The 15741-nt window shown below is 39.4% G+C and overlaps 1 protein-coding gene, 1 long non-coding RNA gene and 1 pseudogene across 3 annotated transcripts in view; 1 reads left to right on the top strand and 2 right to left on the bottom strand.

The window, feature by feature from the left end:
- Nucleotides 1–15741, bottom strand: part of LOC112268078 (uncharacterized) — a 40429-nt gene that overhangs the window by 5555 nt on the left and 19133 nt on the right. The window lies entirely within an intron of this gene.
- PGM2L1 (phosphoglucomutase 2 like 1) overlaps nt 1–15741 on the top strand; it is a 68118-nt gene that overhangs the window by 35257 nt on the left and 17120 nt on the right. For both annotated transcript variants that reach the window (NM_173582.6, XM_011544953.4), the window contains one exon: nt 11601–11794. In NM_173582.6, the coding sequence (NP_775853.2) occupies nt 11601–11794 (194 nt within the window). The remainder of the gene's footprint in view (nt 1–11600; nt 11795–15741) is intronic.
- HNRNPA1P40 (heterogeneous nuclear ribonucleoprotein A1 pseudogene 40) lies at nt 7905–8813 on the bottom strand (annotated as a pseudogene).

Genomic DNA, 15741 nt, shown 5'->3' with positions numbered 1-15741 from the left:
ACATCTTTATTTCTGCCTTCATTTCATTATGTACCCAGTAGTCATTCAGGAGCAGGTTGTTCAGTTTCCATGTAGTTGAGTGGTTTTGAGTGAGTTTCTTAATCCTGAGTTCTAGTTTGATTGCACTGTGGTCTGAGAGACAGTTTGTTATAATTTCTGTTCTTTTACATTTGCTGAGGAGTGCTTTACTTCCAAGTATGTGGTCAATTTTGGAACAAGTGCAATGTGGTGCTGAGAAGAATGTATATTCTGTTGATTTGGGGTGGAGAGTTCTGTAGATATCTATTAGGTCTGCTTGGTGCAGAGCTGAGTTCAATTCCTGGCTATCCTTGTTAACTTTCTGTCTCGTTGATCTGTCTAATGTTGACAGTGGGGTGTTAAAGTCTCCCATTATTATTGTGTGGGAATCTAAGTCTCTTTGTAGATCTCTAAGGATTGCAACCCCTGCCTTTTTTTGTTTTCCATTTGCTTGGTAGATCTTCCTCCATCCCTTTATTTTGAGCCTATGTGTGTATCTGCACGTGAGATGCGTCTCCTGAATACAGCACACTGATGGGTCTTGACTCTTTATCCAATTTGCCAGTCTGTGTCTTTTAATTGGAGCATTTAGCCCATTTACATTTAAGGTTAATATTGTTATGTGTGAATTTGATCCTGTCATTATGATGTTAGCTGGTTATTTTGCTCGTTAGTTGATGCAGTTTCTTCCTAGCATTAATAGTCTTTACAATTTGACATGTTTTTGCAGTGGCTGGTACCGGTTGTTCCTTTCCATGTTTAGTGCTTCCTTCAGGAGCTCTTGTAGGGCAGGCCTGGTGGTGACAAAACCTCTCAGCATTTGCTTGTCTGTAAAGGATTTTATTCTTTACTTATGAAGCTCAGTTTGTCTGGATATGAAATTCTGGGTTGAAAATTCTTTTTTAAAGAATGTTGAATATTGGCCCCCACTCTCTTCTGGCTTGTAGAGTTTCTGCCAAGAGATCAGCTGTTAGTCTGATGGGTTTCCCTTTGTGAGTAACCCAACTTTTCTCTCTGGCTGCCCTTAACATTTTTTCCTTCATTTCAAGTTTGATGAATCTGACAATTATGTGTCTTGGAGTTGCTCTTCTTGAGGAGTATCTTTGTGGCGTTCTGTGTATTTCCTGAATTTGAATGTTGGCCTGCCTTGCTAGGTTGGAGAAGTTCTCCTGGATAATATCCTGCAGAGTGTTTTCCAATTTGGTTCCATTCTCCCTGTCACTTTCAGGTATACCAATCAGATGTAGATTTGGTCTTGTCACATAGTCCCATATTTCTTGGAGGCTTTGTTCATTTCTTTTTACCCTTTTTTCTCTAAACTTCTCTTCTTGCTTCATTTCATTCATTTGATCTTCCATCACTGATACCCTTTCTTCCAGTTGATCAAATGGGCTACTGAAGCTTGTGCATTCGTCACGTAGTTCTCATGACATGGTTTTCAGCTCCATCAGGTCATTTAAGGACTTCTCTACCCTGGTTATTCTAGTTAGCCAGTCGTCTAATATTTTTTCAAGGTTTTTAGCTTCTTTTTGTTGGGTTCGGACTTCCTCCTTTAGCTTGGAGAAGTTTGATCATCTGAAGCCCTCTTCTCTCAACTCGTCAAAGTCATTCTCCGTCCAGCTTTGTTCTGTTGCTGGCAAGGAGCCGTGTTCCTTTGCAGGGGGAGAGGTGTTCTGATTTTTAGAATTTTCAGCTTTTCTGCTCTGTTTTTTCCCCATCTTTGTGGTTTTATCTACCTTTGGTCTTTGATGATGGTGACGTACAGATGGGGTTTTGGTGTGAATGTCCTTTCTGTTTGTTAGTTTTCCTTATAATAGTCAGGACCCTCAGCTGCAGGTCTGTTGGAGTTTGCTGGAGGTCCACTCCAGACCCTGTTTGCCTGGGTATCAGCAGTGGAGGCTGCAGAACAGCGAATATTGCTGAACAGCAAATGTTCCTGCCTGATTGTTCCTCTAGAAGCTTTGTCTCAGAGGGGTACCCGGCCGTGTGAGGTGTCAGTCTGCCCCTACTGGGGGGTGCCTCCCAGTTGCACTACTCGGGGGTCAGGAACCCACTTGAGGAGGCAGTCTCTCCGTTCTCAGATCTCAAACTCCGTGCTGGGAGAACCACTACTGTCTTCCAAGCTGTCAGACAGGGACATTTAAGTCTGCAGAGGTTTCTGCCGCCTTTTGTTTGGCTATGCCCTGACCCCAGAGGTGGAGTCTACAGAGGCAGGCAGGCCTCCCTGAGCAGTGGTGGGCTCCACCCAGTTCGAGCTTCCTGGCCTTTGTTTATCTACTCAAGCCTCAGCAATGGCGGGCGCCCCTCCCCCGGCCTCACTGCGGCCTTGCAGTTCTATCTCAGACTGCTGTGCTAACAATGAGCGAGGCTCTGTGGGCATGGGACCCTCCGAGCCAGGCTCGGGATATAATCTCCTGGTGTGCGGTTTGCTAAGACCATTGGAAAAGCGCAATATTAGGGTGGGAGTTACCCGATTTTCCAGGTGCCACCCCTTCCCTTTGCCAGGAAAGGGAATTCCATGACCCCTTGCGCTTCCTGGGTGAGGCGATGTGTCACCCTGCTTCGACTCACACTCGATGGGCTGCACCCACTGTCCTGCCCCCACTGTCCAACGAGCCCCAGTGAGATGAACCCGGTACCTCAGTTGGAAATGCAGAAATCACCCATCTTCTGCGTCGGTCCTGCTGGGAGCTGTAGACTGGAGCTGTTCCTATTCGGCCATCTTGGAACCGCCTCTGCTATCCTGAACTCAAGGAATTCTCCAGCCTCAGCCTCTTGAGTAGCTGGGGCTATAGGCATGTACCACTTACCTGCCTTTTTTTTTTCCTTCTTACCTCCCTCCCTCCGTCCCTACCTCCCTCCCTACCTCCCTCCCTTCCTTCCTTCTCTTTCTCTTTCTTTCTTTTATTTTATTTTATTTTTATTTTTTAAGACAAGGTCTTGCTCTGTCACCAAGGCTGGAGTGCAGTGGCACAATCACAGCTCACTGCAGCTTCAACCTTCCAGGTTCAAGCAATCCTCCTGCCTCAGTCTCCCAACCACAGGCATGAGCCATCATACCCAGCTAATTTTTTTATATTTAGTAGAGACAGGGTCTTGCTATGTTGCCCAGGCTGTAGGTCTAGTTTCTTTATGATGAGTTATCTTATTTATTTGACCCTTCTCACCCCCATCCCCTAAATGTAAGTTCGTAGGTAGAGAGACTTAGTCTGCCTTGATATTCATTGCTGTTGAACATATTTGGCACATAGTGGACCCTCAAAGATATTTTTTCCTTAATATGTAAGCACAAGGTTAAAAAGTGAAACAGTAGAAAGTATCTGTCCCATCTCTGTCCCCTAGTACAGTTTCTCAGAAGCAAATACTGTTTCCAGTTTTCATTTCTGTTCAGGGATAGTCCACACATATATAAATATATACGTGTTTGTCACTTCTCCATCTTTTTCTCCATAAATGGTAGGGTACTATATAATAGTGTTCTGTGCCTTGCTGATTTCACACAACAATATGTCTTACAGACTGTCTTTTTCTTTCTCCCTCTCCCTTCCCTTCTTCTCATTCTATGTGTATGTATGTGTATATATATATATATATGTATGTACGTGTATATATACACACATATAGATGTACATATATACACATACATGTGTATATATAGTCAATATGTGTATTTTAACCTTGTGCTTGTATATTAAGAAAAAAATATGTATGTGTGTGTGTGTGTATGTGTATATATTTGTATTTGTGACATTGTATTTTTTGGAGAAGCTCAGAAGTAGAGAGGGCTCCTCTGTCAGAGAGTGCAGTGAGCCGTGATCACACCACTGCACTCCAGCCTGGGCTACAGAGTGAAACTCTGTTTCAAAAAAGAAAAAAAAAAGAAAATGAATGTAGAAGAATGTTTATTGTGGCACTGTTTATACATAGCAGATGATCAGAAGCAAAGGAAATGTTCATCAATAAAGGATTGATTACATAAATTATGATTCATCTATATAGATTTTTAAAGATGAATGAAGCAGATATACATATGTATGAATGGCATGAATATATACACATATGAATGATATGAATATATGCATGAATATATATGCTTTATTCATAAAATTAATTTCATCTATGTATTTTTTAATATGATTACTAGAAAATTTAAAATTTTATATATGGCTTGCATTTGTGGTGCACATACTTCTTTTGGGCACTGCTGATCTATAGGATAGATTTTTAGAGGTGGAACTTTTGGGTTTTTTTGTTTTTGTTTTTGTTTTTTGAGATGGAGCCTCACTCTGTCACCCAAGCTGGAGTGCAGTGGCACGATCTCAGCTCACTGCAACCTTCGCCTCCCAGGTTCAAGCAATTCTCCTGCCTCAGCCTCCTGGGTAGCTGGGACTACAGGCGTGCACCATCACGCCTGGCTAATTTTTGTATTTTTAGTAGAGACAGGATTTCGCCATGTTGGCCAGGCTGGTCTTGAACCCCTGGCCTCAAGTGATCCTCCTGCCTTGGCCTCCCAGAATGCTGGGATTACAGGTGTCAGCCACTGCACCTGGCGTAGAGGTGAAACTTCTGGATCAAAGGGAATATGCAAAGAAAGTTTGCATTCCCTATTCAAGGTGGTCATACCATTTAATAACCTCATCAACAACATATGACGGCCTTTATCCTGTATCTTCCATGATTGTATTATCAAAGCTTTTAATCTTTGCCAATCAGATGGGTGGAAATGTTATTTTTAATCTGTACCTGTCTTATGAGTGAGGTTGAGCATCTTTTCATGTATTTATAAGATATTTGCGTTTCCCTGAGAAGTCTGTTAAAGGATTTTTTTTAACAAACTTTATTTTGTAGAGCTGTTTTAGATTCACAGCAAAATTCAGTGGAGGGTTCAGAGATTTCCCATATACCCACTTGTCCCCACATATGTGTTAACAACATCCCCCATTAGAGTGGTACATATGATGAGCCTACATTGACATGTCATTATCACCCAAAGCCCATAGTTTATGTTAGGGTTCATTCTTCATTTGTACATTCTTTGCATTTTGACAAATGAATAATGACACGTATCCACCATTATAGTATCATACAGAGTATTTTTACTGCCTCCGGAATTCTCTGTGTTCTGCCTATTCATCCATTCCTCCTCTTTAACCCCTGGCAAACACTGATCTTTTTACTGTCTCCATAGTTTTGCCTTTTCCAGAGTATCATATTGTTGGAATATACAGTATATAGCCTTTTTAGATTGGCTTCTTTCACGTAGTAATTCCCTCCATGTCTTTTCATGGCTGGATAGCTCATTTCTTTTTTAGCACAGAAGAAGAATATTCCATCGTCTGGAGGTACCACAGTTTATTTCTCCATTCACCTACTGAAGAACATCATAGATTCTTCCAAGTTTTGGCAATTATGAATAAAGCTGCTATAAATATTTGTGTGCACATCTTAGTATGGACATAAGTCTTCATTCCTTTCAGTAAATACCAAGGAGTGTGAGTGCTGAATCATGTAACAAGAGTATGTTTAGTTTTGTAAGAAACTGCCAAACTGTCTCTAAAGTGGCTATACCATTTTAAATCCCTACCAGCAATAAATGAGAGCTCCTGTTGCTCCACATCCTTGTCAGCATTTGCTGTTGTCAGTGTTCTGGATTTTGGCCATTCTAATAGGTGTGCAGTAGTATCTCATTGTTGTTTTAATTTCCATTTTTCTGATGACATATGATGTGAAGCATCTTTTCATACACTTCTTTACCATCTGTGTATTCTTTCGGTGAAGTGTCTGTTTTGCTTTTTTATTGTTGAGTTTTAAGAATTCTTTATATATTTTGGATAACAGTCCTTTTTCAGATACATCTTTCGCAAATATTTCTCCCAGTCTGGCATGTCTTTTTATTCACTTGGCAGTGCCTTTTGCAGAGCAGAAAATTTTATTTTCATTTTAAATCCAGCTTATCAATTCTTTCTTTCATGGATCATGCCTTTGGTGGTGTACCTAAGAAGTTATTGCCGGCTGGGCACGGTGGCTCACACCTGTAATCCCAGCACTTTGGGAGACCAAGGCGGGTGGATTGCCTGAGGTCAGGAGTTTGAGACCAGCCTGGTTAACATGGTGAAACCCCATCTCTACTAAAAATACAAAAAATAAAATAAAATAAATCAGCTGGACATGGTGGCAGGCACCTGTAATCCTAGCTACTCGGGAGTCTGAGGCAGGAGAATCGCTTGAACCTGGGAGGCGGAGGTTGCAGTGAGCCGAGACTGCACCATTGCACTCCAGCCTGGGCAACAAGACCGAAACTCCATCTGAAAAAAAAAAAGTGATTGCCAAACCCAAGATCCTCTAGACTTCCTCTCATCATATCTTCTAGGAGTTTTATAGTTTTGCATCTGTTAAACTATTTGCTCATTATTCTTTTGCTGTTTCTTATTGATTTATGGGAACTCTTCATATGTAAAAAGTAGCTCTTGGCCATCTGTTTTGCAGACATTTCCTCCCAGTCTTCTTGACTTTATTTATGATATTTTTCCATGCATGATATTATGGTATTTTTCCCATTTGAAAACAAAGTTATTTTGGCATTTGTATTGGTATCAATATTTTATTTATGTATTAATTTAGAGAGGCTCGATATTTTAATAATTGAGTCTCCCTATTCAAGAATAGGGTGTGTCTTTCTATTCTTTCAAGACTTCTTTTAGATTCTTTAGTAGCATCTTAAATATTTTTTCCAAGATAATTAAATCATTTATTGATTATGGATGACACACAAGCTTCATTCCTGTTTATAATTTTATCTGGTAACATTATTCAATTTAGATACATTGCATAGTATGTGTCAACAATCATTTTTATAACCAATAATTCCATGATTTTGCTTGGGTAATCCCTTTTAATGGTGAAGTTCAGGTCACAATAGTAATTATCAGTTCAGCTACACCGAGGTTTCTGAAAACAATGATTTCTCTACCCAAGCAAGTTCTGCATAAACTCCAAATAGAACCTGGCATCACCCTGAAGGAATTCTAACTTCACACTGTTGGGGAAATTTACCAAGATGGCTTCAGCATAGACTAACTTTACACAGCACATTAAAAAAAAAAAAGACATTTATTCAGCATCATGATCAGACTATTACATTTAGCAATCAACAGCATGGGTGCAAAAAAAAAAATCCATATTAAAACTCTTTGTTGGAATGCTTTGCACTTTCCACAGAACAGGAACTAAAATAACTTGTTACACAATTTGTCACAAATACAGTCCTCGAGTTTTTTGCCCATACACATGAGTATTTGTCTAAAATATGTCTTGTCGCAGCTAGGCCCTGCCACCACTGTGCTTGGCTGAGTTCACAGATCTGTTGTAACCTATAGCTTCCCTGTCACTTCTCTGGCTCTCCTCTCATGCTAAGCTTTGTTTCCTGGCAGTAATTAAAATCTGCTGCTGCTGCCATAGCTACTGCTGCTATTGGAACCACCATAGCCACCTTGGTTTCATAATTAGTAAAGTATTGGCCTCCACCACCATAGGGGCCAGAGCTTCTGCCTCCAAAGTTTCTTCCCTTCATGGATCCAAATTTTTTTTTTTTTTTTTTTTTTTTTTGAGACGGAGTCTCGCTCTGTCGCCCAGGCTGGAGTGCAGTGGCGCGATCTCGGCTCACTGCAAGCTCCGCCTCCCGGGTTCACGCCATTCTCCTGCCTCAGCCTCCCGAGTAGCTGGGACTACAGGCGACCGCTACCACGCCCGGCTAATTTTTTGTATTTTTAGTAGAGACGGGGTTTGTCACATTGGCCAGGCTGCTGTTGAACTCCTGACCTCAGGTGATCCACCCACCTCAGCCTCCCAAAGTGCTGGGATTACAGGTGTGAGCCACCACGCCTGGCTGAGTCCAAAATTTGAAGACTGATTGTTGTAATTGCCAAAATCATTGTAGCTTCCACCACCTCCAAAATTGCTTCCATCATTACCAAATCTGTTATAGCCATCCCCACTGCCACCATATCCACCACCACCATGGCTGCCACCAAAGCCACCACAACCACTGAAGTTTCCTCCACAACCAAAGTTGTCCTTCCCACCAAAACCACCTCCACGACCACCACCAAAGTTTCCAGAGCCACTTCGACCTCTTTGGCTGGATGAAGCACTAGCCATCTCTTCTTGCTTTGACAGGGCTTTCCTGACTTCACAGTTGTGGCCATTCACAGTGTGGTATTTCTGAATGACAGTCTTATCCACAGAGTCATGGTCATCAAAGGTTACAAAGACAAAGCCCCTTTTCCTGCCACTGCCTCGGTCAGTCATGATTACAGTCGCTTCATTTTTTTCCCATACTGTTCAAAATAATCTCTTAGGTGATGTTCTTCAGGGTCTTCTTTAATGCTACCAACAAATAGCTTTTTCACAGTTAAGTGGGCACCTGGTGTTTGAGAATTTTCTCTTGAAACAGCTCTCTTTGGTTCCACAACTCTTCCATCCACCTTGTGTGGCCCTGCATTCATGGCTGCATCCACCTCCTCCACAGTGGCATATGTGACAAACCCAAAGCCCCTGGAGCACTTGGTGTTTGGGTCTTTCATTACCACACAGTTCGTGAGCATTCCCATTGCTCAAAATGGCTCCTCAGGCTCTCATCGGTTGTTTCAAAGCTCAACCCTCCAATAAAGAGCTTCCTCAGCTGTTCAGGCTCTTTAGGAGACTCTGACTTAGACATGACAGCAGGGGGAAGGAGACTTTAATGATGCTTCCTCAGCAGCATCCACGGGCAGAAAGCAGTAAGCTGACCTAAACGTTTTTTTAAACTAGATTTTTCACACATTTTTTAACATTTATTCCTGGACATATTTTGTTGCATGAATTTTTATGTTACTATATCAGATAGGAATGCTTTCTGGTGCAGATTAAGTAAAACCAACAAAAGTGGCTTAAGCTGATAGGAGTTCATTTTTCTCACGTAACAAAATGTCCAGAGGTAGGTGGCCACAGGCATGGTTCTGTCACTCCATGATGTCAGGCTTTGTGTCTCTGCAGTTTTTCTGGCCTTACCCTCAAGCATGGTCATCACATGGTGGTTGCTGTACCTCCAGGCATCACATCCACAGACAAGGCAAGGAGAAGGGGACAGAGAGAAAGAATAGGATTTTTTTTCTTATGTTTTATAAATTTTCACGTGAGCTTTCAGGACTTATGGAGAGAATCTTTTTTGTGGCTTGAAATGTGGGAGCATCCCTCCAGAACAGTTTTGTTTGTTTTAAACATTCTGGGTTTTCAGCCCCCGCCCGGCAGCCACCCCATCTGGGAGGTGTACCCAGCAGCTCATTGAGAACGGGCCATGATGGCGATGGCGGTTTTGTCTAGTGGAAGTGGGGGAAGTGTGGGGAAAGGAAAGAGAAATCAGATTGTTGCTGTGTCTGTGTAGAAAGAAGTAGACGTGGGAGACTCCATTTTGTTCTGTACTAAGAAAAATTCTTCTGCCTTGGGATGCTGTGAATCTATGGCCTTACCCCCAGCCCCTTGCTCTCTGAAACATGTGCTGTGTCCACTCAGGGTTAAATGGATTAAGGGCGGTGCAAGATGTGCTTTGTTAAACAGATGCTTGAAGGCAGCATGCTCCTTAAGAGTCATCACTACTCCCTAATCTCAAGTACCCAGGGACACAAACACTGCGGAAGGCCGCAGGGTCCTCTGCCTAGGAAAACCAGAGACCCTTGTTCACATGTTTATCTGCTGACCTTCCCTCCACTATTGTCCTATGACCCTGCCAAATCCCCCTCTCCGAGAAACACCCAAGAATGATCAATAAATACTTAAAAAAAAAAAATTTACATTTAAATTATCTGAGAGAAAAGATCAGTCGAAATTTTAACATTCAAATTGTAATTAACTAAATTAAGTTGTCCAAACACTACAAAGATATTGTAAATCTGCTTTCTGTTAGGATATTAAAATATTCAATACAACACACACACACACAAAAAAACATTCTGGGTTTTTTGTTTGTTTTAAAAATTCTGCTAGAACCTCAAGGATTTCACTGACTGGGGGCAGTTTCTGTGTTAATTTATTGTTTCTCATCCTAAAATAACTGAAGTGCAGACCTTGGATTTGAAAATTTTTTTAATTACCCAGAACTCAAGAAGAGACATGCTTCCTCATGATCTCTGTAATAGTGGGCAGGACTTTTTCTATTCTGCATTTTCACTGAGAGTGAAATGCTTCAAGGATGCCATTTTTATTTGGGGGTCTCAGTTCCAACTCCCTACCTTGCACATGGGCATTACAATCCAAGAACCAGATAAATGGACAGTTCTCAAACCCCAGGTAACCACAATATCAGTCCCACAGGCTTATCATTCTGCTTTTTAATTATTTTTTTCCCACTGCCTGGAGTCGTCCCTTTCCTCTTGTGAATTATGCTGTGCATTTAAGATAATGTTTTTTCTGTTTTATGTAGCATTTTGAGGTGTTTATAGAGAACAGGTTTTTAGGTCATCTGGTTAACCATATTCTTTGCATAGAGATTAGTACATAGCACAGATTCAAATGTATTCTTCTTTCCTTCATTCAGGATGCAATAGAGGGGATTTGTGTCATATGCATGGTAGAAGTCACCATAGATATTCTCTAACCTTCCAAATTTGAAATCCTATAAATTAATAGAATTACATTTTCATGCTTTTTTGGTAACTGTTCCTAATGTCTTATTGATCAGGCTACTTGACAAACTGAAAGCTCATTGAAATTTATATGGATAATTAACACATTAATTGTTAATAAACTATATTTGGTATGATATAAATTCTACTTTATAATAGAAATATGACTTTTTTCTATATCACATAACTACTTTATAATGTTAAGTTAAATAGTATCAAGTTTTAGGGAATAGTCTGTGGTTTCTTGGATTATCTTTAGTAGATAGTTATAGGTTTAAGAGTATAATTGGATACTATGGCATATGCATATTATAATGTTATCATAATAATTAGCCCTGCTTGTATTTTACTCATATTGTTATTAAGGTATACTTCTAAAAGAAAATCATATATAATCATTTGATTGAAGAGTCCCTGTAGAGTCATTACTATCTATATCTTTTAATATTTATTAAATTAGTCCTCCTATGTTGACATTTTTTATTTGATCAATTTGATATGCTTTATTTTTATTTTTATTTTTATTTATTTTTTTTTTTGAGACAGAGTCTCGCTCTGTAGCTCAGGCTGGAGTGTGGTGGCGCTATCTCAGCTCACTGCAAGCTCCGCCTCCGGGGTTCATGCTATTCTCCTGCCTCAGCCTCCCGAGTAGCTGGGACTACAGGCGCCTGCCACCACACCCGGCTAATTTTTTGTATTTTTAGTAGAGACAGGGTTTCACCACGTTAGCCAGGATGGTCTCGATCTGCTGACCTCGTGATCTGCCCGCCTCAGCCTCCCAAAGTGCTGAGATTACAGGCGTGAGCCACCGTGCCTGGCCTCAATTTGATATGCTTTTTAATAAAGCTGAAGATCTCAACTATAGACAAGAAAAGATCTGGCAAGCATTTTAAGTAATTATGGTTATATTTACTTATCATCTAGGTTTACTGGGAAACTGGTGCTCAGATCACATCTCCTCATGATAAAGAAATTCTAAAATGTATAGAAGAATGTGTGGAACCCTGGAATGGTTCCTGGAATGATAATTTAGTGGATACCAGCCCGCTGAAGAGAGACCCTCTGCAGGACATTTGCAGGAGATACATGGAAGATCTGAAAAAGATCTGTTTTTACAGGTATCCAAGTGAGAATATCAGATAATACTACTTCAGAATAACGTTAAAGAATGAGGAGAATAAAAAGTGATAAAAAGTGTTGTCTATTTATTAGATTAAAATTATAGCTAAATAGTACTCATAAGAGTCAAAGAGTGGAAATAACCCAAGTAACCATTAACTAATGAATGGATAAGTAAAATGTGGTATATCCATACAATGAAATATTATTCAGCAATAAAAATAAATGAACTACTCACATACCACAACATGGATAAACCTTGAAAACATCATGCTAAGTGAAAGAAGCCAGTCACAAAGAACCACATATTGTATGATTCCATTTATATGACATATGTAGAATAGGCAAATCTATAGAGACAGAAATAGATTAGAGGTTTCTTGTGGCTGGAAGGAATGAAAGGGTTGGGGGCTGGAAGCTATAGGTTATAGAGTTAGTTTCTTTCTCTCTCTCTCTCTCTCTTTCTCTCTCTCTCTCTCTCTCTTTCTTTCTTTCCTTTTTTTTGAGACAGAGTCTCGCTCTTGTCACCCAGGCTGAAGTGCAGTGGCACGATCTGGGCTTACTGCAACCTCCGCTTCCTGGGTTCAAGCAATTCTCCTGCCTCAGCCTCCGAAGTAGCTGGGACTACAAGCAACCACTACCATGCCTGGCTAATTTTTGTATTTTTAGTAGAGACAAGGTTTCATGATGTTGGCCAGGCTGGTCTCGAACTCCTGACCTCTGGTGATCCGCCTGCCTCAGCCTCCCAAGGTGCTGGGATTACAGGTGTGAGCCACCATGCCCAGCCTAGAGTTTCTTTCAGGAGTAGTGAGAATGTTCTAAAATTGATCATAGTCATGGTTGAACAACTCTATGAATATAGCGAAAGCCATTGAATTGCACACTTTAAATGGGTGAATTATATGGTATGTGAATTATATCTCAAAAAAGCTGTTAAACAAGTTATACTTAAATATATGTATTTCCTCTATGTTAGATCAGTACATTTCTCTTAAGAGTTTATTTTTCCTTAACCATTTCCATATTTCCATAATTATCTCTGTAACTCTTCTGTAAATAGCTAACACTATTGCTAGGAAGAATCCTGGCTAGCTGAGTGTATTTTTCCTATCCTACAAAATAATTTTAGCTTTTTCTCAACTTTATTTTAATTTCAAAAGTATACCCATCAAGCTGTCAACTGTTTGCTTCTCCGTCTAAAATAAGTGACAGTAATACTAGCTAAATGCTACCAGCTCTAATCAATCTAAAAAGAATTTGATTCCTTTTTTATCCTTTCTGTCTTTTCTTATTTACATTTTTGTTTTTTAAAGAGTATATGGGCAAAAGCAAATTAACAAGTGAACCTAACTATTTATCAAGCTGAAGGCATAATTACACAGAGAAGAATTATTTCAAGTGACTTTACAGTTATTGACTATGTATTTCTAGTGGGATATGTCCTAAGGATAAAGAACTACAAAGAAACCTCAAATTTTATTTGATAGCTGTACTGTTAGTGGTAATATTGATGATTTTACAGATGTAGATATAAATAAATATATAGACATACACATATATATGATAAAACAAATGGGTAATTATGTTAATGTCACTAGGATCTAAGATTTTAGTTTAAGAGAAGTGAATGTAAAATCAAATAAAATAATTTTAAAATTATAATTTTAAATTTGAATTTGAAATATGTTTTATTTACCTAAAATACCAAAATACTAGTTCTGTTACTAAAAAGGCCAATGCCTACCCCTAAAGCCCAGACTGTGGTTTCTAAATACCATTTCCTAGTAAAAGGAACCAGGGCTCATTGGAGAAATTGATTCTTATCAAGGAGTGGGGCAGAAAATGTACTAAATGAGGCTGAGATAACTTTGTTTTCCTTGCCATGAAGCAGGCTAGCTTTCAAAGATACTGGGGTCATATCAAAAAGATCTGGGAGCCAACTTGAAGGGACTCCCACTGACCAAATATTGGATAGTTGGGCATCAAAAAGAATAATCACCTCAATGAATTAAAACATTAAACCTAAAAAGCCCATGACTGTTAGTAATACTAAAAAAGCAGTTTATTGGTCACCTTTGGGAGTTGCTGGACTGAAAATCACACAGGCTGAAATTTGATAAATTCTAAATTTTCCTTCTGAAAATCAATAAATGTTTGAAACTTTCTCTTAATTTGTTCTGCCTTTTCTATATGAACTGAATTTTAGGGCTAATCAAATGGTTGATGAAGGATCATTATTTTTAAAAGAAAAATACAATAAATGCAGAAGAAATAACAGAATTTTCAAAATCACTATGTTGTGACCTCTAATAAATAATATATCTAAGTAATTCTTATCAAGGGCTGCTAAGACCCATAGGTGAAATGTTGATGGGAAATATTTTGATGGAAGGATTAGGCTGACACTGGTGAATCTTAGTTTGACAGCATTAAAAGTAGAGTAGAAATTGTGTGCTTCCACCTGTGAGTCAATAGAAAATACACAGCACCTATTCTTGCCCAAAGAATTGAAACTGAATCTAATGTTACCTCTAAATGCAGTTGCCTATTTACAGAAAAAATAGGATAGAAGAGCATGTTAATACCAAAAGGATGCAGTCTACATACTGGAGATACAGGAAATTCTACAGGACAAATGGGCCAGTTTCTTCAATAAATGACATTTGGGTTGGGGAAGGAAGGGAGGAACATTTACAGATTAAAAGAGACTTGAGAGGCATAGCAGTCAAATTATATGGAACCTCGTTCAGGTCCTGCTTCAAGTAAAACAACTGTTAAAAGTATTTTTGAGACACTTGGGGAAAATTTGAACACAGATACGGTATTAGAGGAAAGAAATTATTGTTGATTTTGTTAGATGTAATGATGGTAATATGGTTATGTTTCTAAATACTAAAGCATTTTCATGTAAAGTAATATATCTTGAATAAATGAGACTAGATTGACAGACAATGGAAACATATTGAAGTGAGGTAATGGGTATATGGTGTTAGATATTCTGTCTTCCTATGCATATGTTTGAAAATTGTCATAACTTTATTTTTATTATTTATCTTATAATAAATTGTATTTTTTATGGGGAATAGTTAGTAAATGGTAGGTTAGGATGTACAAAGTTTTGCTGTGGAAAAGACCAAAGAAACAGAGACTAGATGCTAATGGAAATGATGCCGGCGAGAGAGAATTATCCATGTACTAAAGTTCTCAAGTGAGAATTGATGGGGACCAGAGCAGAAGTAGAGGGGTTGACCTTTGATACAAAGAACACCTCCTCGTTATTATCAGATGGAAGAAGGAAAAAATATGGGTTGTCGGTTTGGTGTGGGACGATTAGGAAGTTCCCATCAAATGGCTCTGTGTCTGAGTGATGTATGAGATGAAGGGGGAGGAAAGGAATAAGGAGAGAAGAGAAGGTACTAATTAAGTCACCATCTTGGAGAGTAAAAAAGTAAGCTTTTTGGGTAACAAAGTAGGATTGCCTGGCAGCATTGGGTGTCCATTCAGAGTGAAGCTGTTCAATCCTTTTGTGAGATTTATTCTAGCAATATTCAACTATTTTGGTGCAAGCCTGGAAAAGGAACACATTTGGGTTCAACAAGATTTGGGGTATTGGAGGGTCAAAGTAGCCAGACTGACATATAAGAAGGTGAGTGTAATTAGGTACTTTGCAATCTAAACTGGAAGTGAAGAAACGAGGGGTCTACTGGCAAGCGAGAAAGACCAGTTAGGAAGTGTTTGTGATGGTCTAGTGAGAGATAATATTTACTTAGATGATACAAGCTTAGCTTGTTCAGGGTATTGGCACAGCATATGGAAGGCAGCTGTCCAGGTCAGGAAGTTGAGCCACAAAGGGAGAATGCTGTTGAATTAAAACTCTTGATCTTTAAGTTAGTACTCTTGATTTGTTTGTTTGAATATCTTAGACCTCTGCTGAAGGCTTAAATCA

The sequence above is a fragment of the Homo sapiens genome, chromosome 11, assembly GCF_000001405.40.
Source record: "Homo sapiens chromosome 11, GRCh38.p14 Primary Assembly".
NCBI lineage: Eukaryota > Metazoa > Chordata > Mammalia > Primates > Hominidae > Homo > Homo sapiens.
Note: the sequence above shows the minus strand (reverse complement) of the source record. Positions and strands in the feature narration are given on the sequence as shown.